At 39.0% G+C, this 25,704-nt stretch overlaps 1 protein-coding gene across 8 annotated transcripts in view, besides 1 other annotated feature; it reads right to left on the bottom strand.

The window, feature by feature from the left end:
• KLHL20 (kelch like family member 20) overlaps window positions 1-25,704 on the bottom strand; it is a 71,712-nt gene that overhangs the window by 4,283 nt on the left and 41,725 nt on the right. For 5 of the 8 annotated variants that reach the window (XM_017001052.2, XM_005245093.5, XM_024446468.2 and 2 more), the window contains 5 exons: window positions 25,251-25,434; window positions 16,121-16,264; window positions 7,972-8,105; window positions 6,568-6,776; window positions 180-286 (listed from right to left, as the gene is read on the bottom strand). In XM_017001052.2, coding sequence (XP_016856541.1) covers window positions 180-286; window positions 6,568-6,776; window positions 7,972-8,105; window positions 16,121-16,264; window positions 25,251-25,434 — 778 coding nt within the window. Of the gene's footprint in view, window positions 1-179; window positions 287-6,489; window positions 6,777-7,971; window positions 8,106-16,120; window positions 16,265-25,250; window positions 25,435-25,704 lie in introns of those variants that run through there. The other 3 variants (XM_017001053.2, XM_047418030.1, XM_047418029.1) reach the window with 3 other exon arrangements.
• Window positions 22,976-23,476: an enhancer, noted in NCBI's record as "H3K4me1 hESC enhancer chr1:173728073-173728573 (GRCh37/hg19 assembly coordinates)". NCBI's record gives its function as "activates a minimal SCP1, AML or CMV promoter by ChIP-STARR-seq in primed H9 embryonic stem cells {active_cell/tissue: H9 hESC(primed)}" and the evidence as "EXISTENCE:reporter gene assay evidence [ECO:0000049][PMID:30033119]".

Here is a 25,704-nt window from a genome sequence, read left to right as displayed (position 1 = left end):
TAATATATCAGCCACTTTAGAGCAATCAAGTCAAAATGAGCCATAAATATGTGTAACTTCAGCCCTCTTCAAAGTACTCCAATGTACTGACCATCCCAGTTCTGATGGTCATAGGCTATTTCAAGCCCATGATTTCCAAATCAGTAGTGAGGTGATTTGCTACACAGCTTAAAAGTTACCTCCATGTATTGGCATCAGGATCAAAAACTTCTATGGTCTTCAAGTATGTTGTGCCATCAAAACCTCCTACTGCCATGAGCTGTCCATTGACCACTGCCAGGCCAACCTACAAAACCAAAATACAGTAAGCTGCTGAAGAAACTAGACAATCGTAAGGAAATTATAGACTGGTTTCTAGATAAATCTATTTACAAAAGATAATTCTTTATGGCCTTACATTCTGGTTTACTGAAACACAGGGAAAATGTAACAACAAAAGTCTATCAAATTATGGGAACTATAAAATTATATATTCAATTAGAATATTCACACAGAATCCAAAACATGTATTTCTTAAATTTTAGAAAAACTGTTCACTAGAAGTGAGCAAACAACCTCCAAACTGCTCTCACTTCCTCTGGTATTTGCCTGCTCTAATCTTTCTAATTGCTAGTAAAATTCTCTTTTAAAAATACAAATCTAGGCCAGGCATGGTACCTCATGCCTGTAATCCCAGCACTTTGGGAAGGCCCAGGTGGGAGCATCACTTGAAGCCTGGAGTTCAAGACCAGCTTGGGCAACACAGTGAGACCCCTATCTCTACAAAAATAAAGTAAAACAGAAAAATATAAATCTAATCATATTGTCACTTTCCTCTAAAAACTTTCTCACTTTGGGAGGCTGAGGTCGGTGGATCGCTTGAGCCCAGGAGTTCGAGACAGGCCTGGGCAACACAGTGAGACCCTGTCTTTACAAAAAATACAAAAATTAGCTGGGTGTGGTGGGGCATACCTGTAGTCCCGGCTACTTGGAAGGCTGAGGCAGGAGGACTGCTTGAGCCTGAAAGGTCGAGGTTGCAGTGAGCTGAGATTGTGTACACTGCACTCCAGCCTGGGCAGCAGAGTGGGACCCTCTCAAAAAAATCTCCTAAAACCAAAACAACTTTCTAAGCCTCCCTACTATTTAAGGGTAAGTTTTAAAGTCCTTATTATGTTACTCAGGCCCTCCAGAAATCTATCTTAGCCCACTATTTAAGCCTCACCTCTTATAGTTTCCCTTTACTCCTAACTAATGAATCCTATTGCTGCAGTAAAACTGGATTAACTGCTAGTCCCTGAAGATAACATACATTTTTCACACCTCCACACTTTTGCACATGTTCCCTGGCTGGTGTTTTCTTCTCCCCTCCCCTCCCCCACCTCCCTCCCTCCTCCCTCCTCTCTCTCTCTCCCTCTCCCTCTTTCCCTCTCTCTCTCTCACTCACAGGGTCTCGCTCTGTCACTCAGGCTGCAGTGCAGTGGCAGGATCACAGATCACCATAGTGAAACCCCATCTCTATTAAAAATACAAAAAAACAGCTGGGCATGGTGGCACGCACCTGTAGTCCTAGCTACTCGGGAGGCTGAGGCAGGAGAATCACTTGAGCCCGGGAGGTGGAGGTTGCAGTGAGCCAAGATCGCACACTGCACTCCAGCCTAGATGACAGAGCAAGACTCCATCTCAAAACAAAATAAAACAAAAAAACAGTTCACCGTAGCTTCCACCTCTTAGGTTCAAGTGATCCTCCCACCTCAGCTTCTTAAGTTGCTGGGACTACAGGGATGCACCACTACATCTGGATAATTTTTAAATTTTTTGTATAGATGGGGTCCCACATGTTGCCCACGCGGGTCTCAAATTCCTGGGCTCAAGTAATCCTGTCTCTGCCTTTCAAAGTGCTGGGATTACAGGCATGAGCCACCGCACCTGGCCCTGGCTACTGTTTTCTGTCTGTCTTTTAGAAAAGCTTATTCTTCCTTCATGAGCTAGCTTACATGTGACTGTCTTTGGTAGTCTCTTCACTGCCCCAACTCATTCTTACTTCCCCAAAGCAGTAAGCGCATTCTCCTATGTTCTTCTATAAAATATATAACACTACTGTAGGGTTTATTTATTATAGTTAGCTGTAAACATTTCAATTTCCTTCACTAAATTGGGAGCTACTTAAGGAGAGGAATCATGCCATACTCATTTTTGCTTTCCCAACACACAGCGAACACTTAACAGGAATGTGACTAAGATGTTGTTAGTTGTCAGTAATAAAAAGCCACAGATATGTGAAGGCTTTGACTTGCTGACACCTTCCAGTGGTGTTCCTTGATTTACGCAAACCAGAATTCACTCTCTTTTATCCTCAGATTGTGGAGTGCTTAGCTACTGCTTGCTTCTCCTTCCTGTTGTGGATGTCTCGATGAACTCCTGACATGATCAGTGGTTAATGGGTTATATTTTGCTCTCAGCAAACATCCCAAGATGGATAAATTCTATACTTCGCCCAGAAGTCTCTTGAGTTACAGGCCATCCATGGTCTAGAACATGTCCCAGGGCAGTCTGATCTGGTCTATACTATAGATAGGATAGACTCAAACTAGTTTGTGGGGACTAGGGGTGGAGCCAGATGTATTTTTGCCTAAACATTTGTATTAGTATGCCAACTACTTAAGACTATTAGCTAGAAACATTAAGTTGCAATATATAGATCTAATATTAATTTAGATAAGGTAGTAGATAATTTGGGGAGATTGTTTCAGAAAAGCAATGGATACAGGATAAATCCTAAAAGCCAGGTGCAGTGGCTTATGTCTATAATCCCAGCACTTTGGGAGGCTGAGGGGGGTGGATCACCTGAGGTCAGGAGTTTGAGACCAGCCTGGCCAACATGGCAAAACCCCATCTCTACTAAAAATACAAAAGTTAGCTGGACATGGTGGCACGCGCCTGTACTCCCAGCTACTCGGGAGGCTGAAGCAGGAGAATTGCTTGAACCTGGGAGGTGAAAGTTGCAGTGAGCTGAGATTGCACCACTGCACTCCAGTTTGGGTGACAGAGTGAGACTCCTTCTCAAAAAAAAAAAAAAAAAAGGAGAAATCCTAAAAAATTATTCTCTAATTAAAGATATGACGACATAAAATTTTTCAACTACATGAGATAAAAATAATCAAAAGAAATTCATTATTTTCTAGTGTCAAATTAGCAGGGCTTGATTTACCTAAAAGCATCCTGAATGACCAGTGGGTCAATGAAGAAATGAAGAAATTAAAAGTTTCTTGAAACAAATGAAAATGGAAAAACAACATACCAAAACCTATAAAGCGGTTTTGGACATAAAGTGAAAGTAAGAGGAAAGTTTATAGCAATAAGAGCCTACATCAAAAAAGTACAAAAACTTCAAATAACATAACAATGCATCTTAAAGAACTAGAAAAGAACAAACCAAATCCAAAATGAGAAGAAACAATAAAGATCAGAGCAGAAATTAATGAAATTTAAGTGAAAAAAACACAAAAGATCAATTAAATGAAAAGTTGACTTTTGAAAGATAAACAAAATCAACAAACCTTTAGGCAGATTAAGAAAAAAGAAGGCCCAAATAAATAAAATCAGAGATGAAAAAGGAGACATTACAACTGATACCGTAGACATTCAAAGGATAATTAGAGGCTATTATGAACAAATATATGCCAATACATTAGAAAATCTAGAAGAAACAGATAAATTCCTAGACACATACAACCTACCAAGATTGAACCATGAAGAAATCTAAAACTTGAACGGACCAATAGCAAGTAATAAGGCTAAGTGTGGTGGCTCATGCCTGTAATCTCAGCACTTTGGGAGGCTGAGGCGAATAGATCACTTGAGCTCAGGAGTTTGAGACCAGGCTGGGCAACATGGCAAAACCCCAACTCTACCAAAAAAAAAACAAAAAACAAAAATTAGCTGGGCATGATGGTGTGCACATGTAGTCCCAGCTAATGGGGAGACTGAGGTGGAAGGAAGGCTTGAGCCTGGGAGGTGGAGGATGCAATGAGCCGACATTGTATCATTGCACTCCAACCTTGGTGACAGAGCCAGACCCTGTCTCAAAACAAAACAAAAAAGTAATGAGATCAAAGCTGTAATAAAAAATCTCCCAGCGGAATTGAACAATGACATCACTTAGACACAGGGCGGGGAACACACACCAGGGCCTGTCGGGGGGTGGGGGGCTGAGGGAGTGATAGCGTTAGGAGAAATACCTAATGTAAATGACGAGTTGATGGGTGCAGCAAACATGGCACATGTAGGCACATGTAGACCTATGTATCAAACCTGCACTTTGTGCACATGTACCCTAGAACTTAAAGTATAATAAAAAAAAGAAAAAAAAATCTTCCGGCAAAGAAAAGCCCAGGACCCAATGGCCTCACTGCTGAATCTTATCAAATATTTAAAGAAGAATTAATACTAATCCTATCAAACTACTCCAAACATAGAGGAAGAGGTAACACTTCCAAACTCACTTTAGGAGGCTAGTATTACCCTGATACCAAAACCAGACAAAGACACATCAAAAAAAGAAAGCTACAGTCCAATATCCTCAATGAACAATGATGCAAAAATCTTCAACAAAATCCCAGCAAACTGAATTCAATGACACATTAGAAAGATAATTCATCATGACCAGGTAGAAATTATCCCAGGGATGCAAGAATGGTTCAACATATGCAAATCAATCAGTGTGGTACATCATATCAACAGAATGAAGGACAAAAACCAAATAATCATTTCAATTGATGCTGAAAAAGCATTTGATAAAAGTAAGCATCCCTTCATGATAAAAACCCTTAAAAAACTGGGTACAGAGGGAACATACCTCAACACAATAAAAGCCATATATGACAGACCCACAGATAGCATCATTTAGAATGGGGAAAAACTGAAAGCCTTTCCTCTAAGATCTAGAACAAGACAGGGATGCGCACTTTCACCACTGTTATTCAGTATAGTACTGGAAGTCCTAGGTAGAGCAATGGGACAAAAGAAAGAAAGAAAGGGCATCCAAATTGGAAAGGAAGAAGTCAAATTATCCTTCTTTGCCTACAGTATGATTTTGTATTTGGAAAAACCTAAAGACTCCACCAAAAAGCTATTAGAACAGATAAACAAATTCAGCAGAGCTGCAGGATACACAATCAAGATATAAAAATCAGTAGCATTTCTATATGCCAACAGCAAACAATCTGAAAAAGAAATCAAGAAAGTAATCCTATTTACAACAGCTATAAATAAAATACCTACGAATAAACTGAACCAAAGAAGTGAAAAATACAATGAAAACTAGAAAACATTGATGCAAGAAATTGAAGAGGACACACAAAAATGAAAAGACATTCCATGTTCATGGATTGGAAGAATCAATATTGTTAAAATGTCCATGCTATCCAAAACAATCTACAGATTCAATGCAATCCCTACCAAAATACCAATGACAGTCTTCACAGAAATAGAAAAAATAATCCTAAAATTGATATGCAACCACAAAGACCCAGAATAGCCAAAGCTATCTTGAGCAACAAGACCAAAACTGGAGGAATCACATTATCTGACTTCAAATTATACTAAAGAGCTACAGTAACTAAAACGGTATGAGACTAGAATAAAAACAGACACATAGACCAATGGAACAGAATGGAGAACCCAGAAATAAACCTATACATCTACAGCGAACTGTTTTTTTGACAAAGGTGCTAGGAACGTATATTGGGGAAAGGACAATCTCTTCAATTAACAGTGCTGGGAAAACCAGGTAACTATATGCAGAATGAAACTAGACCCCATTTTTTGCCATATACAAAAATCAAATTAAAATGAATTAAAGACTTAAATCTAAGGCCTCAAACAATGAAACTGCTAAAAGAAAACACTGGGGAAACTCTCCAGGACATTGGTCTGGGCAAAGATTTTTTTCAGTAATACTCCACAAGCACAGGCAACCAAAGAAAAAATAGACAAATGGGATCACATTAAGTCAAAAAGCTTCTGCACAGCAAAGGAAACAACCAACAAAGTGAAGAGACAACCCACAGAATGGGAGAAAACTACTCTTCTGACAAGGGATTAATAACTAGAATATATAAGGGCTCAAACAACTCAATAGAAAAAAACTAATAATCCAATTAAAAAGTGGGCAAAAGATCTGAATAGACCTTTCTCCAAAGAAGACATAAAAATAGCAAACAGGTATATGAAAAGGTGCTCAACATCTGATCATTAGAGAAATGGAAATGAAAATTACAATGAGATGTCATCTCACCCCAGTTAAAATGGCTTTTATCCAAAAGTCAGGCCATAACGATTGCTGATAAGGATGCAGAGAAAAGGGAACCCTCCTACACTGCTGGTGGGAATATAAATTAGTACAACAGTTTGGAGGTTCCTCAAAAAACTAAAAATAGAAATATCATATGATCCAGCAATCTTACTGCTAGGTATATACCCCAAAGAAAGGAAACCAGTATAATGAAGAGATATCTGCACTCCCATGTTTATTGCAGCACTATTAATAGCCAAGATTTGGAAGCAACCTAAGTGTCCATAACCACTTACTCCACTACGGCGTGATGTCATGGCCACCACTGGAGACCACTGGTTGGTTCTGGGGTTGTATCTCTCAGCACTGCTCAGCTCTGTAGTGTCATCTCTACCTCCTACAGCATAGATCATGTCCTGATATACTGCACAGCCTAGGTGTTTCCTCCGGGTCCCCATAGGGGCTATAGTGTGCCATCTGTTTTCCTGAGGATTGTAACGTTCCACTGTAGGGAAAAGAAAAACCAGTAAGTGAGCATTCAACCATTTCCTCTCACCTCCAGTTTTCTTTATAGCCACTGATACTTTGTGATAACACATATTTTCAACACATGATCTGATTTTTGCTTCTGAGAAGGATTTGTATACCTCTGGACAATACTACATATACTCTCATCAGGGACTGGTTTCTTCTAGGTATGGTACAGTGGAAAGGGCACGTGTTGGGATCCAGATACTCTGGTTCTAGTTTTATCTAAATGACTAATTAGCTACATGACTCTCAGCCTCACTCTCCTTATCGTTAAATGGGGAGCCTGACTACATGATCAATAAGCACCATTCAGTACTAACAATTTATCATCATAATCAGACAACTTCTGTACTCCTGTATTCCCTCCCCTATAGCACAGTGCATTTTAAGCTTCTGAAGAGAAGACAAGACGTGACGAATCTGGTGTGACTGTCACATTGACAATATCCTTAGGCAAAAATACCCATACTATCTAAATAGAAAGGAATAACAAACCAGGCCAGGTGCAGTGGCTCACACTTATAATTCCAGCACTTTAGGAGGCTGAGGTGGGCAGATCACTGGAGCTCAGGAGTTTGAGACCAACCTGGGCAACACAGCGAAACCCCATCTCTACTAAAAATACAAAAATCAGCCAAGTGTGGTGGCATACACGTATAATCCCAGCTACTCGGGAGGCTGAGGTGGGAGGATTGCTTGAGTCCGGGAGGTAGAGGTTGCAGTGAGCCAAGATTGTGGCACTGGACTCCAGCCTGGGTGACAGAGCGAGACCCTGTCATAAAAACACAAACAAAAACAAAACCCAAATAAACGAATTTGTAGTTCTAAGTTTTTATTTATTCTTGGATTAGAGTACGTTGTGGTTTTGAGGAGAAGTTGTGATGGAGGAAAAGGAACTAATTATATAAGAAAGTAGTTTTTAAAATTCATTATAAATTTCCAGCAGCTTGGAAAGCAGGGGAAGAAATAAATATTTGGGGAACGTACTTAGAATATGACTACAGTGGGAGCTGAGGAAGAGCTGAGAGCTGCACTCTGCTGGAGGGAAAAATCAGGCATTTTCCTAGTAAATTATAGGATAACCTGGAGTTTCTACACGTTTTGTAGGAGGACTCTCCAGGAAAATGTTCTGCTTTTGGGGAACCTGATTGCCTTTGGGAGGGACTAACCTGTGTTGAGAGGAGATGTCCCGTCAGAGCCACCTACAGCATATAAGAACCCTCCTAACACAGCCACAGCCACACCTAGTCTTCTGGTACTCATAGAAGCTACCCGAGTCCACTTGTTCTCCTTCGGATCATACCTGCAGTGAGGGAAACCAGACTGTATGCTTGTTCTTATTAAGTGAAGCCTTTTTCATAAGATCTGAAATCACACTAACGATATACTGAGTACACGGACTTGCTATAGTCAAATGTGCAATGAAAATCTAACATTTTACTTAGTCATTAGAAAAACGTCTTAGAATTTATATCTGTGCCAGCTATTAAGCTATTTTCTACACTCATACTTGGAAAATGTCCCAAGGAAAGAAAACAACCTATGACTTCAGCTCACATAACACAGGCTCTTTCTCTTTTTTTTTTTTTTTTTTGAGATGGAGTCTTGGTCTGTCGCCCAGGCTGGAGTGCAAGTGGCGTGATCTCAGCTCACTGCAAGCTCCGCCTCCTGGGTTCACGCCATTCTCCTGCCTCAGCCTCCTGAGCAGCTGGGACTACAGGTGCCTGCCACCACGCCTGGCTAATTTTTTGTATTTTTAGTAGAGATGGGGTTTCGCCATGTTAGCCAGGAGGGTCTCGATCTCCTGACCTCGTGATCTGCCAGCCTTGGCCTCCCAAAGTGCTGGGATTACAGGCGTGAGTGACCGTGCCCGGCTGGCAACACAGGCTCTTTCTTCAATGGAATTTTAGTTCATTTGGTCATTACTTTGAAATGCCTCTGATGTATTTTAAAATATGATTTTTGTAATTTGTCTTTTTTTCCTAGTCGTTGTAGTGGGGGTGATGGCTGTTACTCTCTACTACATCCTATTAGAAAGTAGAAGTCTTTTGCATAGTTCTTTGAGACAACCTTTTTATTATAAAACTCAAATACAGAAAGTGCCATCCCTAGACACTTCAATCTTACTTAACATTACATTTAAAAAAATTTTAATTAATATTTATTTATTTAATTAATATTTATTTATTTAAAAATAGGGGTCTTGCTGTGTTAACCAGGCTAGTCTCAAACTCCTGGCCTCAAGCAATCCTCTCACCTTGGCCCCCCAAAGTGCTGGGATTACAGGTGAGCCACTGTGTCTGGCTGAGACTTAAAAAAAAGATAAAAAAAAAAAAGGCTGTGTGTGGTGGCTCATGCCTGTAATCCCAGCACTCTGGAAGGCTGAGGCTGGAGGACTGCTTGAGGCCACAAGTTCGAGTTCAAGACCAGCCTCGTCAACACAGAGAGACCTTATCTCTATAAAAAAATTGGAAAAAAAATTAGCCAGGCATAGCGGCATTCATCTGCAGTCCCAGCTACTTGGGAGGATGAGGCAGGGATTGCTTGAGACAGTTGTGAGCTATTATTGCACCACTGCACTCCAGCCTGGGTGACAGAGTGAGACCCTGTCTCTAAAAAAATCAGATTAAATTAAAAAGTCTCTTATTGTCTACAGGTTTTCTCTCCATTCCTTTTCTTCCCTGCAATTCATCTGTTTTAGAACCCAGAGTGTATGACAATTTTCCCCATAATATGGATTTGGTTGACTGTACGTTCATAGTGCAGTCCAATCTGTTGCTCTGTCCTTTTTATGTTGGGCAAATTGGTAGTTGGATCCAGAAATTTGATCAGACCATGTTTGGTTCCTTTAACAAGACTAAAGAAGGTGGTATGTTAGCAGCTGTTTATCAATGTCTAGATACACTAATTTACTGAGTGTTGCAAAATGATAATCACTTATTTTCTTTTATTGGGATAATTTTATAAAGAAACAATCCTTTTATTTGGTTAATCAATATAATAATATGGTTTGGTTAATCAATATAATAATATTAACTATTTGGTTAATCAATATAATAATACAGTTCTTATAAGAAAAGCAGGATATATGTTCACTTCATTTTATGTTTTGAGATAATAAATTTGTTCCATATGATCTTCCAAAGGCAACCAATTAGTCTTAAAAAGTTTATCATTAAGAACTCATATATTTAAGTGTATTTATTGGATTTCAATCTATTGCAATTATCCCTTTTAAAGCTGAAATTATGTTATCTTTGGTCAGTGGGAACATCTTCAAGTTGGCTCCTGAGTCTTTTTGACTCTTAGCGGTCTTTGACAGCTTGCTTGCTATTTGGTATGACAAAAGGGTACAGACTCATCTGCACATTTCCTGTTCTAAACCTGGAATCAGACATTTTCCAATAAGCTCTGGTTTCTTTAAGTGGGAAATAAAATTTCAAGATACAATCTGGGAGTAGAGATGTTCACTGACACTTTATTTCGAGGCTTTCTCAGTTGACAAGCTAGAATATATAGAAATTTTTTCAAAAGAGGAATTTAGTTCAAATTCATACTCAGGACTACAAGATACTTTATTTAACTTCTATTTTGCAACCTTTTCTTCTTCTACCTCCACACTCTGGTTTTCAAGGACAAAGGAGAGAGCAGAATTAGAATAATGCATACTCATTTCCTTTATTCTACATTTATACACATAACAGAATAGCAATATTATCACTCCAATATCCCTGAGAACAATTAAAATTCATTTTTGCATACCTCTTCTTTGTACTACATTTACATGGATTGAGTACATAGCTAGAGCATGCTACACTCTCTCCCTTTTATTTTTATTTTTAGAGACAGGGTCAGTCTGTCACCCAGGGTGGGGTAGAGTGGTGCAATCATAGCTCATTATAATCTTGAACTCCTGGGCTCAGGGCAATCTCCTGTCTTAGCCTTCTGAGTCGCTGAGAATACAGGTGTGCACCACCATGCCTGGCTAATTAAAAAATATACATATATACATTTTTAACATATAGGGTCTTACTATGTTGCCTAGGCTGGTCTCAAACTCCTGGCCTCAAGTCGTACTTCTACCTTGGGTTCCCAAAGTGCTGGGATTATAGGTCAGAGCTACCACACCCAGCCCTCCCCCTTTTAATCTTCATTTAGTCATAGTTCTACAGTTAACTGTATGTATCTATGTATTTATTTTTAAGAGACACGGTCTTGCTCTGTCACTCAGGCTAAAGTGCAGTGGTATGATCATAGCTCACTGCAGCCTTGAACTCCTAGTCTCAAGCGATCCTCCCACCTTGGCTTACCAAAGTGCTGGGATTACAGGTGTGAACCACATGGTCTAGCCCTTCTGTCAATGTCTTTCTAGTAATTTTGTCTGAAGTTTGTTCTCCTAGAGGGCTCAAGGGAACAAGATTCCCTAATTTCTTACATGTTGTTAATAGTTGTCTGTGCCCTTTGTACTTCAAAGTCAGTTTCTCAAGGTATAAAATCCTTGGCTCACGTTTTTCTTGAATATCTAAAACATGCAATTCTATTTTCTTCTGGCATGAACTACTACTTTTAAAAAGCCAGATGATAATCTAAGTTTCTTTTCCTTACAAGTAACATGTACTTTTTTGTAGATGTCTAAGGAATTTTTTCTTTTTCTTCAAGGTACAGTCATGTTATTAGCATATGTCTTGGTGTTCTGGGTCAATATTCGAAGGATATAGCGTATTCTTTCAAAAAAGTTTCTTTTTTTAATTATAGGAAAGTAACTTTGGATTATAGTTCTTAGTATTCATTCTGTTTCCTCCCTTTGGTTTTCTTCTTTAAGGACTGCTATCACCTGTATAATAGATTTTTACCTATTTTCAATATTTGTTACTATCTCTCAAATGGTATCTCTTGTTTTTTTTTTTCCTCTCTCTTTTTTTTTTTTGAGAGAGAGTTTTGCTCTTGATGCCCAGGGTGGAGCTCAATGGTGCGACCTCGGCTCACTGCAACCTTCACCTCTCGGGTTCAAGTCTCCCAAGTAGCTGGGATTACAGGTGCCTGCCACCACATCCGGCTAATTTTGTATTTTTAGTAGAGATGGGGTTTCACCATGTTAGTCAGGCTGGTCTTGAACTCCTGACCTCAGATGCTCCACCCGCCTCGGCCTCCAGAAGTGCTGGGATTACAGGCGTGAGCCACTGTGCCCGGCCTTCATTTCTTTTTGACCTTAAAATATTTCCTCTTTTCGCCTTCTATTTGTCTTATGGCATTATCTGTTTTGCTTATTATCCTTTAATCTTCATTCTGAAATGATTTTTCCTTTCATTTCTAATACATTTCTGAGTTCTGTCACTTCATTTCTGAATTTTTCTACTTCTGATTTATGTAGTTTCATATCTGTTATCATTTTCTTAATGTCTTTTATCACATTTTGAAACAGTTAAGGTTTTGATCTGTAGGTGTGTCTTTCTAGTGTGCTTTTATTGTCTGTAGAGATGTTATTCTGCTGCTTATTCTCTCTTCTTATATTAACTTTGTATGGAATCTAATCTCAATACTTTGCTATTTCATTTTTACATGAAATGAGTTTTCCTGAACTTTTAGAAATAGGAGTGAGTGGTTTGTGACAGTTTTTCTAACTTTGTGGAGCTCCTTCTTTTTTTTATGTAGTATTAAAAAACATAGTGCCTTGCCTTCAGAGATTATTACTTAAATTTTTTTGTATTTTTAACTTTTGGGCATATATTTATGGGGTATGTGAGATGTTTTGATATAGGCATGCAATGTGAAATAATCACATCATAAAGAATGGGGTATCCTTAAATTTTTTTTTTTTTTTTTTTTTGAGACAGGGTCTCACTCTATTACCCTGGCTAGAGTGCAGTGGAGCAATCATGGCTCACTGCAGCCTTGACCTCCCAGCAATCCTCTCACCTCAGCCTCCTGAGTAACTGGGACCACAGGTGTATGCCACCAAGCCTGGCTAATTTTTTTATTTTTTGGAGAGACAACGTCTCGCTATGTTGCCCAGGCTGGTTTGAAATCCTGGACTCAAGCAATCCTCCCACCTAGGCCTCCCAAAGTGTTGGGATTATGGGTGTGAGCCACAGCGCCTAGTCCAGAGATTTATTGACTTTATTCACTGCCTTACTTTTGTCTTGGCTTTCTCTTTTCAAGGAAAACAAGGGCATCTGTTGCCCTCGTCCTGCTTAATTTTGATTCTCCTCAGTGTAGGGTCCTGACCTGGAAGATTATCCTGGCTGGTCAGTTTTGAGAGTTCCCAGGGACTAGATGGCTCTAACTCAGCTGGTTCCCAACCAGGTGTTATTTTATTCCCCTTCATCCCCCCTTTCTCATCCCCTAAGTAACATCTGGCAATGTTTAGAGACTGTTTTTGGTTGTCACAACCAGGCACATGCTTCTGGCACTTAGTTGGTAGAGGCTATGGATGCTGTTAAACATCCTACAATGCACAGGACAGTCCCCCACAACAAAGAATTGTCTGACCCAAAACGCCAGTAGTGTTGAGGTTGAGAAACCCTCTTCTAAGCCCTTTAGATCTTATTGAGGGTCTTGCACTTACACTCTATGGCAGTGGACAAAACTGTTTCTAGTTTCAGTTGCTGATAAATTTTCCCCTTGTGCTTTCTATTTACTACGTGTTAGCTAGTTTGAGGTTCTTTTGTTCTTAGATCTGTCAGACATCCAATTGCTTCTTTCTGATTTCTCCTGAAGATACTAATATCATGCAGGTCTTGTGGCTAATGGTAGTTTGTCTTTGCCCGTTTGTGTTTTGGAGTTTGTGAGGATATTCTTTCCCTTAGTTTTGTGTTAAATTTTGTTCACAGGTTCTGATTTTTAAATTGTGGTAAAACACACATAACATAAAATTTACCATCTTAACCATGTTTTAACTGTTTAGTAGTGTTAAGTATATTCACATTGTTGTGTAACTCCAATCTCCAGAACTAGTACATAGGTTTTTAGCTTTGCTATCTATTACTCTATCTGTTTTTATGTGGGCATTTGGAGATATTAAAAAACTATGCCATCACTGCTGCTAACCTCCTGTACTGAGTTTTGAAAGTGAAAAAATAGATTTCTTGACAGAGAGATAAAAGGGAACTGGCATAGCTTTCAAGAGTTACCTTCTATTTTATCTCTACTTACAACAGTTAAACGTTTCAACATATACATGGTAAACTAGTAAATGCTACCTCAAAAATTTTAGAGTCATGACTCATTTCTTTTTAAGATGTGAGGATGAAATATATGTTCTTATCAGTAATCATAGCACATGAGACTCTAAAATCTAATGACGAAAAGCTGACAGAAGAAATTAAGAACAAAATCTGTTCTACCAAAATTAACTATTTGTACACCAGTATAAAGTGACTATGGCAGCCCACCTAGATTTCCCTAAGTATACTTCAATGATTAATGAGTCTATATACAAAATACTTTAAGCTTTTTATAAGATGTCCTATACAAAGTATTATTATGTAATCATTTCTCTGGGGGAAGTCTAAGTAGAGTCATTCATTAAGTACACTCCAGGTAGATTCAGGAAAAAAATCAGAACAGATTTCACAAGTGGTATGCTTGATATATATAGAATATAATCTGAAATACATTTCTAACATTTCAATGTTAGGTACAATCAGTGTGACAGTTGAAAAAATCAGGTTATGTGCCCCAAAGCATAGGCAACAAAAGCAAAAAAAGTAAGATTACATCAAACAAAAAGGCTTCTGCATGGCAAAGGAAACAATCAACAGAGTGAAGAGACAATCTACAGAGTGGGAGAACATATCTGCAAGCCATACATCTCATAAAAGGTTAATACTGAAAATATATAAGGAACTTAAACAATTCAACAGCAAGAAAACAAATAATCTGATTTAAAAATGGGCAAAGGACCTGAATAGATATTTCTCAAAAGAACACATAAAAATGGCTCAGTATATGAGAAAATGCTCAATATCACTTATCATCAGGGAAATGCAAATTAAAATCACAATGAAATACCATGTCACACCTGTTAGAATGGCTACTATATTAAAAAAGATAGATAACAAATGTTGGCAAGAATATGGAGAAAAGGAAACCCCTGCATACCATTGATGAGAATGTAAACTAGTATAGCCATTACGGAAAACAGTATGGAGGTTCCTCGAAAAATTAAAAATAGAACTATCATATGATCCAGTAATCCCACTACTAAGTATATATTCAATGGAAATAAGTATGTTGAAGAGATACCTGTACTCTCATATTCATTGCAGCATTATTTATAATAGACCAGATATGAAGTTAAGCTAAATGTACCTCAACAGATGAATGGATACAGAAAATGTGGCATATATGAATAGAATACTATTCAGTCTTAAAAAAGAAGGAAATCCTGACATTTTCGACGGCATGGATAAACCTGGAGGACATTAAGTGAAACAAGCTAAACACAGAAAGACAAATATTGCATGATCTCACTTATATGAGGAATCTAAAAAAGTTGAACTCAGAAGTAGAGAGTAGAATGGTGGTTACCAGGGGCTGGCAAGGTGAGGGGCAGTGAGGAAATCTTGGTAAATGAGTACAAAATTTCAGTTAGAGAGGAGGAATAAATTCAAGAGCTCTAATGTACAACATAGTAACTATAGTTAATAACAACGTATTATACACTTGAGAGTAGATTTTAAGTGTTCTCACCACAAATAAATCATAAGTATGTGAGATAATATGTTAGTTAGCTTGATTTAGCCATTCCGCAACCTATACATATTTCAAAACATCATGCTGTACACTGTGAATATATATAATTTTTGTTAATTAAAAAAAACTTTTTTTAGATCTTTCATTTTCCTAGACTTTAAGATCAACTGAAGACTTTTTGCTGAAAGCCTATGGGAAATCCACTGAATAGTGGATCCTCCAATGTCCTAAATTCAGCTCTACTTGTTTCTTTTTTTTTTTTTTTTCCCCCTTGATACAGGGTCTCACTTTGCACCCAGGCTGGAGTACAGTGGCGTGATCTCAGCTCACTGCAGCCTCAACCTCCTGGGCTCAAGTGATCCTCCCACCTCAGCCCCACAAGTAGCTGGAACTACATGCACCACCACGCCCGGCTAATTTTTTTTTTTTTTTTTGTATTTTTTATCTCACCATGTTGCCCAGGCTGGTCTCGAACTCCTGAGTTCAAGCAATCCACCTGCCTTGGCCTTCCAAAGTGCTAGGATTACAGGTGTGAGCCACCACGCCCAACCTGTAGTTTTTCTTTTAAAGAGCTCTATGTTCTTTAAAATAAAAATACGGAAAATGACTTAAAAAAAAGATCACCTCTCAACAATGTTGAGGCAAGACACACCATCCTGGCCACCCACAGCATAAAGAAAGCCTCCAAGTACTGCTACACCAACACTTGTCCTGCAGGTGCTTGTAGGGGCCACATCACTGCTCCACTGGTTTGTTTTGGGGTCATACCTGAAAAGAACATACCAAGAGGAGAGTTTGTATTACACAAAGGAAGCTTGGCTATGTTTACATATTCTAAATCCATGGATTTATATGATATATATTATTTCCCCTAAGTATGGGCTGATTAATAATAACCAAAACATTTGAAAATCTGGTTTGTGTTTTTATTTTTTGAAATTTATGTATGAATATATTTTCTTTAAAAAAATCAGAATATTATTGATAAAGTTAAAGCCCTCCTTGAGTTCCACCTGAATTCTTGTCTCTTCCCATTTTGATTTGGCATATATCCTTCAAGACTTTTCAGTAAAATGCTTTCATATAGGTATATATGTATCCACATATATATATTTCTTTATATGCAAGCATGTTTTCTTTGCATAAATAATACCACAGTAGGCACTGCTTTTTCCCTCAACGTTTTTTGAGATCTATTTATGCTAATATAGCTCTAGATTTTTCTTTTGAATTATTTTACTATTATATGTGTTATACATTATTTAATTATATTCCTACTGATATACCCCTTAGGCTGTTTCTGATATTTTCCTATTAAAAACAATGTTCATCCTTATATATTTCTCTTTGTGCAAATGGGTGATAGGTAGAATTACTGTAGCAAACAGTATGCTTAATTTTTTTTTTTTTTGAGACGGAGTCTCGCTCTGTTGCGCAGGCTGGAGTACAGTGGCACGATCTTGGCTCACTGCAAGCTCCGCCTCCCGGGTTCACGCCATTCTCCTGCGTCAGCCTCCCAAGTAGCTGGGACTACAGGCGCCCGCCACCACACCCGTCTCTTTTTTTGTATTTTTAGTAGAGACGGGGTTTCACCGTGTGAGCCAGGATTGTCTCAATCTCCTGACCTCGTGATCCACCCGCCTCGGCCTCCCAAAGAGCTGGGATTACAGGCATGAGCCACCATGTCCGGCCGAGTATGCTTAATTTTTAAAAATCCTATCAAATTGCTCTTTTTGTAGACATATCTTTTTTTTAAATTTCGTTGATTTTTGTTTGTTTGTTGGGTTTTATTGCCTTTTCAGTGATGACTTAAAAGCATGATTCATTTATTTTGCATCTTCCTTATTTCCAAATGCATATAAGTTATATTAATGTATCTAAGCTAAAATTCATGTAAATTTGCCCCTGGGTACCACCTTAGTTGCATTCTATCCATTTTGACATATATAGGCTAAATTGTTAAGGCATAAATATTTAGCTATTTCTACACTTCTTTAACCCATCAATTTTTTTTAAACTGGGATGTGTTCTTTATTTTTCCATAAGTTATTGGGGTATTGGGGTACAGGTGGTATTTGGTTACATGAGTAAGTTCTTTAGTGGTTATTTATGAGACTTTGGTGCATGCATCAGTATACATGGCACCATATTTGTAGTCTTTTATCCCTTGACCCCCTTCCACTCTTCCCCCCAAGTCCCCAAAGTCCACTGTATCATTCTTATGCCTTTGAGTCCTCATAGCTTAGCTCCCACATTATCAGTGAGAACATACGATGTTTGGTTTTCCATTCCTGAGTTACATCGCTTAGAATAATAGTCTCTAATCTCATCCAGGTCACTGCAAATGCTGTTAATTCATTCCTTTTTTATGGCTGCATAGTATTCCATCGTCTATATACACCACAGTTTCTTTATCCACTCATTGATTGACGGACATTTGGTTTGCTTCCACGATTTTGCAATTGTGAATTGTGCTGCTAGAAACATGTGTGTACAAGTATCTTTTTCGATTAATGACTTCTTTTCCTCTGAGTAGATACCCAGTAGTGGGATTACTGGATCAAATGGTAGTTCTACTTTTAGTTCTTTAAGGAATCTCTGCACTGTTTTCCATAGTGGCTGTACTAGTTTACATTGCCACCAGTGGTGTAGAAGTGTTCCCTGTTCACAGCATCCACACCAACATCTACTGGTTTTTGATTTTTTTATTATGGCCATCCTTGCAGGAGTAAGGTGGTATCGCATTGTGGTTTTCATTTGCATTTCCCTGATCATTGTGATGTTGAGCATTTTTTCATATGTTTGTTGGCAATTTGTACATCTTCTTTTGAGAATTGTTTATTCACGTCCTTAGCCCACTTTTTGATAGGATTGTTTTTTTCTCACTGACTTGAATTCACTGTAGATTCTGGATATTAGTTGTCAGATGTAGATTGTGAAGATTTTCTCACACTCTGTGGATTGTCTGTTTACTTTGCTGACTGTTACTTTTGCCATGCAACAGCTCTTTAGTTTAATTAGGTCCCAGCTGTTTTTTTTTTTTTTTTATTGCATTTGCTTTTGGGTTCTTGGTCATGAAATCCTTGCCTAAGCCAATGTCAAGAGGGGTTTTTCCAATGTTATCTTCTAGAATTTTTACAGTTTCAGGTCTTAGGTTTAAGTCCTTAATACATCTTGAGTTGATTTTTGTATAAGGTGAGAGCTGAGGATCCAGTTTCGTTTTCTTACATGTGGCTAGCTAATTATCCCAGCAACATTTGTTGAAAAGAGTGTTCTTGCCCCCCTTTATGTTTTTGTTTGCTTTGTTGAAGATCAGTTGGCTGTAAGTGTTTGGGTTTATTTCTGGGTTCTCTATTCTGTTCCATTGGTCTATGTGCCTGTTTTTATACCAGTACCACACTGTTTTGGTGACTATGGCTCTATAATATAGTCTGAAATCAGGTAGTGTGATGCCTCCAGATTTGTTCTTTTTGCTTAGTATTGCTTTGGCTATGTGGGCTCTTTTTTGGTTCCATATGAACTTTATAATTGTTTTTTTCTAATTCTGTGAAGAATGATGGTGGTATTCTGATGGTGATTGCATTGAATTTGTAGATTGCTTTGGCAATATGGTCATTTTCACAATATTGATTCTACCCATCCATGAGCATGGGAAGTGTTTCCATTTGTTTGTGGTGTCTATGATTTCTTTCTGCACTATTTTGTAGTTCTCCTTGTAGAGGTCTTGAGGTCTTTTGACTCCTTTGTTAGGTATATTCCTAAGTATTTTATTTTTTTTTGCAGCTATTGTAAAAAAAAGTTGAGTTCTTGATTTGATTCTCCGCTTGGTTGCTGTTGGTGTATAGAAGAGCTACTGATTTGTGTACATTAATCTTGTATCCGGAAACTATGCTGAATTCTTTTATCAGTTCTAGGAGCTTTCTAGAGGAGTCCTTAGGATTTTCAAGGTAAACAATCATATCATCAGCAAACAGTGACAGTATGACTTCCTCTTTACTGATTTGGATGCCCTTTATTTCTTTCTCTTGTCTGATTGCTCTGGCTAGGACTTCCAGTACTATGTTGAAGAGGAGTGGTGAGAGTGGGCATCCTTGTCTTTTACCCCATGCTCACAGGGAATGCTTTCAACTTTTCCCCATTCAGTATGTTGGCTGTGGGTTTGTTATAGATGGCTTTTATTAAAGTATGTCCCTTGTATGCCAATTTTGCTGAGAGTTTTAATCATAAAGTGATGCTGGGTTTTGTCGAATGCTTTTTCTGCATCTATTGACATGACCATGTGATTTTTGTTTTTAATTCTGTTTATGTGGTGTATCACATTTATTGACTTCTATATGTTAAACCATCCCTGCATCCCTGGTGTGAAACACACTTGATCATGGTGGATTATCTTTTTGATATGATGTTGGATTTGGTTAGCTAGTATTTTGTTGAGGATTTTAGCATCTACATTCATCAAGGATATTGGTCTGTAGTTTTCTTTTTTAGTTATGTCCTTTCCTGGTTTTGGTATTAGGGTGATGCTGGCTTCACAGAATGAATTATGAATTATTAGGGAGGGTTCCTTCTTTCCCTATCTTGTGGAATAGTGTCAAAAGGATTGGTACCAATTTTTCTTTGAATGTCTGGTAGAATTCTGCTGTGAATCCGTCTGGTCCTGGACTTTTTTTTTGTTGTAATTTTTAAATTACCACTTCAATCTTGCTGCTTGTTATTGGTCTGTTCAGGGTATCTAATTCTTCCTGATTTAAGATAGGAGGGTTGCATTTTTCCAGTAATTTATTCATCTCTTCTAGGTTTTCTAGTTTATATGTGTAAAGGTGTTCATAGTAGCCTTGAATGATCTTTTGTATTTCAGTGGTGTCAGTTGTAATAGCTCCTGTTTCATTTTCTAGTGAGGTTATTTGGATTTTCTCTCCTTTTCTTGGTTAATCTTGGTAATGGTCTATCAATTTTATTTATCTTTTCAAAGAACCAGCTTTTTGTTTCATTTATCTTTTGGTCTTTTGTTTGTTTGTTTCAATTTCATTTTGCTCTGCTCTGATCTTGGTTATTTCCTTTGGGTTTGGGTTTGATTGGTTCTTGTTTCCCTAGTTCCTTGAGGTGTGACCTGTTTGTGCTCTTTCAGACTTTTTGATGTAGGCATTTAGGGCTATGAACTTTCCTCTTAGCACCGCCTTTGCTGTGTATCCCAGAGGTTTTGATAGGTTGTGTCATTACTGTCATTAAGTTTGAAGAATTTTTAAATTTCCATCTTGATTTCGTTTTTGACCCAATGCTCATGCAGGAGCAGGTTATTTAATTTCCATGTATTTGCATGGTTTTGAAGGTTCCTTTTGGAGTTGATTTCCAGTTTTATTCCACAGTGGTCTGAGTGAGTGCTTGATATAATTTCAATTTTCTTAAGTTTATTGGGGCTCATTTTATGACCTATCTTATGGTCTATCTTGGAGAAAGTTCCATGAGCTGTTGAATAGAATGTGTATCCTGTGGGTTTTGGATGAAATGTTCTGTATATATCTGTTAAGTCCATTTTTTCCAAGGTATAGTTTAAATCCATTGTTTCTTTGTTGAATTTCCCTCTTGATGACCTGTCTAGTGCTGTCAGTGGAATATTGAAGTCTCCCACTATTATTGTGTTGCTGTCTATCTCATTTCTTGGGTCTATTAGTAATTGTTTTATAAGTTTGGGAGCTCCAGTGTTAGGTGCATGTATGTTTAAGACTATGATATTTTTCTGTCGGACAAAGCCTTTTACCATTATATACTGTCCCTCTTTGTCTCTTTTAACCACTGTTGCTTTAAAGTTTGTTTTGTCTGATATAAGAAGAGCTACCCCTGCTCGCTTTTGGTGTCCATTTGCATTAAATGCCTTTTTCCACTGCTTTAAGTTTATGTGAGTCCTTATGTGTTAGGTGAGTCTCCCAAAGGCAGCAGATGGTTGGTGAGTTCTTATCCATTCTGCGGTTCTGTACCTTTTAAGTGGAGCATTTAGGTCATTTACATTCAATGTTAGTATTGAAATGTGAGGTACCGTTACTTTACTTTCGTAGTGCTCTTTCTTGCCTATGTACTTTGGTTTTGTTTTGTGTTTTTGCTTTTTAACTTGTATTTTTGCATTATGGGTACTGTGTGATTTATGCTTTAAAGAGGTTCTGTTTTGATGTGTTTCCAGGATTTCTTTCAAGATTTACAGCTCCTTTTAGAAGTTCTTGTAGTGGTGATTTGGTAATGGCGAATTATCTCAGCATTTCTTTGTCTGAAAACGGCTTATCTTTCGTTCACATACGATGCTTAGTTTCACTGGATACGAAATTCTTGGCTGATAATTGTTTTGTTTGAGGAGGCTGAAGATAGGTCCCCAATTCCTTCTAGCTTATAGGGTTTCTGCTGAGAAGTCTGCTGTTAATATGGTAGGTTTTCCTTTATAAGTTACCCTGTGCTTCTGTCTCATGGCTCTTGATTCTTTCCTTCATCTTGAGTTTGGATAACCTGATGACAACGTGCCTAGGGAAAGATCTTTTTGTGATGAATTTCACAGGTGTTCTTTGTGCTTCCTGTATTTGGATGTTTAGGTCTCTCACAAGGCTGGGGATATTTTCCTTGATTACTCTCCCGAGTATGTTTTCCAGGCTTTTAGAATTCTCTTCTTCCTCGGATATACCGATTATTCTCAGGTTTGGTTGTTTAACATAATCCCAGACTTTTTGGAGGCTTGTTCATATTTTCTTATTCTTTTTTCTTTGTCTTTGTTGGATTGGGTTAATTCAAAGACCTTGTCTTTGAGCTCTGAATTTCTTTCTTCTACTTGTTCATATCTATTACTGAGACTTTCTAGAGCATTTTGCATTTCTAAAAGTGTGTCCAAAGTTTCCTGAATTTTTGTTTTTTCATTAAGCTATCTATTTTCTTGAGTGTTTCTCCCTTCACTTCTTGTATCATTTTTGGATTTCCTTGCCTTGGGCTTTGCCTTTCTCTGGTCCCTCCCTGATTAGCTTAATAACTAACCTCCTGAATTCTTTTTCAGGTAAATCAGGGAATCTTCTTGGTTTGGATCCATTGCTGGTGAATTAGTATGATTTTTTGGGGGTGTTGAAGAGCCTTGTTTTATCATGTTACCAGGGTTGGTTTTCTGGTTCCTTCTCATTGGGGTAGGCTCTGTCAGAGGGAAGGTCTAGGGATGAAGGCTATCGTTCAGATTCTTTTGTTCCACGAAGTGTTCCCTTGATGTAGTATTCTCTCTCTTTTCCTATGGATGTGGCTTCCTGTGAACCAAATTGCAGTGATTGCTGTCTCTCTTCTGGGTCTAGCCACCCAGCAAGTCTACTCAGCTCTGGGCTGGTAGTAGGGGATGTCTGCACAGAGTCCTGTGATGTGAACCATCTATGGGTCTCTCAGCTGTGGATACCAGCACCTGTTCTGGTGGAGGGTGCAATGGACTCCGTGAGGATCCTTAGTTTTGGTGGTTTAATACCCTATTTTTGTGTTGGTTGGCCTCCTGCCAGGAGGTGGTGCTTTCCAGAAAACATCAGCTGTAGTAGTGTGGAGAGAGACTGGTGGTAGGTGGGGTCCTAGAACTCCCAAGATTATATGCCCTTTGTCTTCCACTACCAGGGTGGACAGGGAAGGACCATCAGGTGGGGGCAGGATTAGGCATGTCTGAGCTCAGACTCTCCTTGGGCGGGTCTTGTTGCGACTGCTGTTGGGGATGGGGGAAGAGATTCCTAGGTCACTTGAGTTGTGTACCTAGGAAGATTATGACTGCCTCTGCTGAGTCATGCAGGTTGTCAGTAAAGTGGGGGAAAGCCGGCAGTCACAGGCCTCACTCAGCTCCCACACAAACTGAAGGGCTGGTCTCACTCCCATGGTCTCACTCCCACCGTGCCCCTCTCACAACTCTGAGTCTGTTTCCAGGCCACAGGCGGGCAGCAGGCTTGCCCCAGGCTATCCGCCTCCCAGCTGCAAGAGAAAAGGGCTTTAGTTTTCCCCCTGCCGGTGAAGTCTGCATGCAGGATTTGCACCCTACCTTGAGTTCTGGTCAGGAGGCTTCTCACCCTGTTCAAATTGTTACAAAGTTCAGCTAGAGAATTCCTTCTCCCTGGGGAGTTTTATCCCCTGCTCCTCTGGCCACCCTCCCAATGGATCCCTGTGGTGCCAGGCAGGAATGGCCTGCTTGGGGACCCAGCAAACTCCCAGGGCCTTTCTGCTGCTTCCTCTACCCCTGTTATTTCGCTTGCCTCTCTAACTTGACTCAGCTCCAGGTAAAGTTGGAAACTTCTCCTGCAAACAGACCTTCAGCTTCTCCAGTGGGGGTGTGTGTTTGGGAGAGGAGGGTCTCCCTTTCCCATTTCTGCAGTTGGGGCACTCCCAATATTTGGGGTTTCTCCCGGGTGCTGCAGGAGCAGTCCGCTTTCTTCAGAGGGTCTGTGGGTCCTCTTGAGATTGCTGATTTTTTCTTGCAGTCAGTCTGGAGCTAACATTTGCAATCAAGCCTCCGCATGTTGCCCGGTCTGGAGCTTCAGTCTAGTCCTGCCTCCCGTCTGCCATGATCCCTTCTGTGATGCCATCAATTTATTTTTTCCCTTCTGTGATGTCATCAATTTATTTTTAAGTGTGTGTGTTGTTTTCTTTTTCTTTTTTTTTTTGAGAGAGTCTTGCTCTGTCACCCAGACTAGAGTGCAATGGCGCAATCTCATCTCATGGCAACCTTTACCTCCCAGGCTCAAGCGGGCCTCCTGCCTCAGTCTCCTGAGTAGCTGGGACTCACAGGCGTGCACCACTACAACTAGTAAATTTTTGTATTTTTTGTAGAGATGAGGTTTCTCCATGTTGCAGTTGTTTTACTTCTATGGGACTGATCCCTCTGCTTTTTAAGATTTTTCCCCAGCTGCACAATCTATATCTTTAGAACTTGATATGCGGCAGCGTTTCATAGATGTGTTATGGAAACAAAGAGTCACTGTTAATCAACACAGCTTCTTGAGAGCAAGAAGCTATTGAAACATCAGTTACTAGAGATTCCCAATGTGCCCAGTCACTGCGATAGATATTATGGTGAAACACATTTCAACACGTATAGTACAATGTGATGGATATGTACAAACATGTTCAAAATACTTATGGAAGGGCAAAGGAACAAGTAACTAGTAACTAACTCATCTGTATGGTATCATAGAAAGTTGTATGTATTAAGTAACATTTGTGTCTTGAAGAAAATGTAAGTCTTTTTTTTCTTTTTTTTTTTTTTTTGAGAAGGAGTCTCGCTCTTTTGCCTAGGCTGGAGTGCAGTGGCGTGATCTCGGCTCACTGCAAGCTCTGCCTCCCAGGTTCTGGCCATTCTCCTGCCTCAGCCTCCCGAGTAGCTGGGATTACAGGCATGAGCCACTGCACCTGGCCAAAGGAAATGTAAGTCTTAAAGTGGCAGAAGTATCCCAGGGAAAAAAGAACAGCATGCATATATGTAAGGAGAGAGGTATGACTTGGAATGGACATGCAGCATGTCCAAGGAACTGCAGGCAATTTGATGTGTCTGTAGTAGCATGCTTAGGGAGTGGTAGTGTGTCATGGGAGACAGACTAGAAAAATAGGCGGAGACCAGATCATAAAGAATTTGTGTATCATACTAACTTGTTTAGGTTGCCAACTAGTGCCACAGATGCAATACTAAAGCATTAAATCAATTTGTTTCCTAATTAACATCTCAAATAAAACTATATGAATAGTAGAGAGAAAATTACAGATTGACCTTACTCACCTTTCAACACTATTGAGATAAGAGGATCCATCATGGCCTCCTACTGCATATAACAGATCATCAAGAACACTGACCCCAACTCCGCATCTCCTTTTGCTCATTGAAGCCACCATTCTCCATTCATTGGTCTGTGGATCATATCGTTCAACACTGGAAATGGCATCTCCACTGCACCAACCACCAACTGGGGAAGTAACAGAAATGGTCAAGAGAATCCTATCCTGAAGCATAAAATGTAACACTCACTACTAACTTCACTGTGACCTAATGCTTAGACTCACCAAATGTCTCTAGTAGTAGGTCAAAATGCAAGTTATGACTTCAACTCATTCCACTGGGATTGCTATAATCTTTAATCAATTCTGTAAATAAGTTAGTATTACGTCTATTTTACAAAGGAAGGCAATGATACCAATTCACATAGGATTATGAGATAATATGTATATATGGATAG

Source organism: Homo sapiens, chromosome 1, assembly GCF_000001405.40.
Source record: "Homo sapiens chromosome 1, GRCh38.p14 Primary Assembly".
NCBI classification, from domain to species: Eukaryota; Metazoa; Chordata; class Mammalia; order Primates; family Hominidae; genus Homo; species Homo sapiens.
The sequence above is the reverse complement of the archived record's forward strand: the minus strand, read 5'-3'. Positions and strand labels throughout refer to the sequence as shown.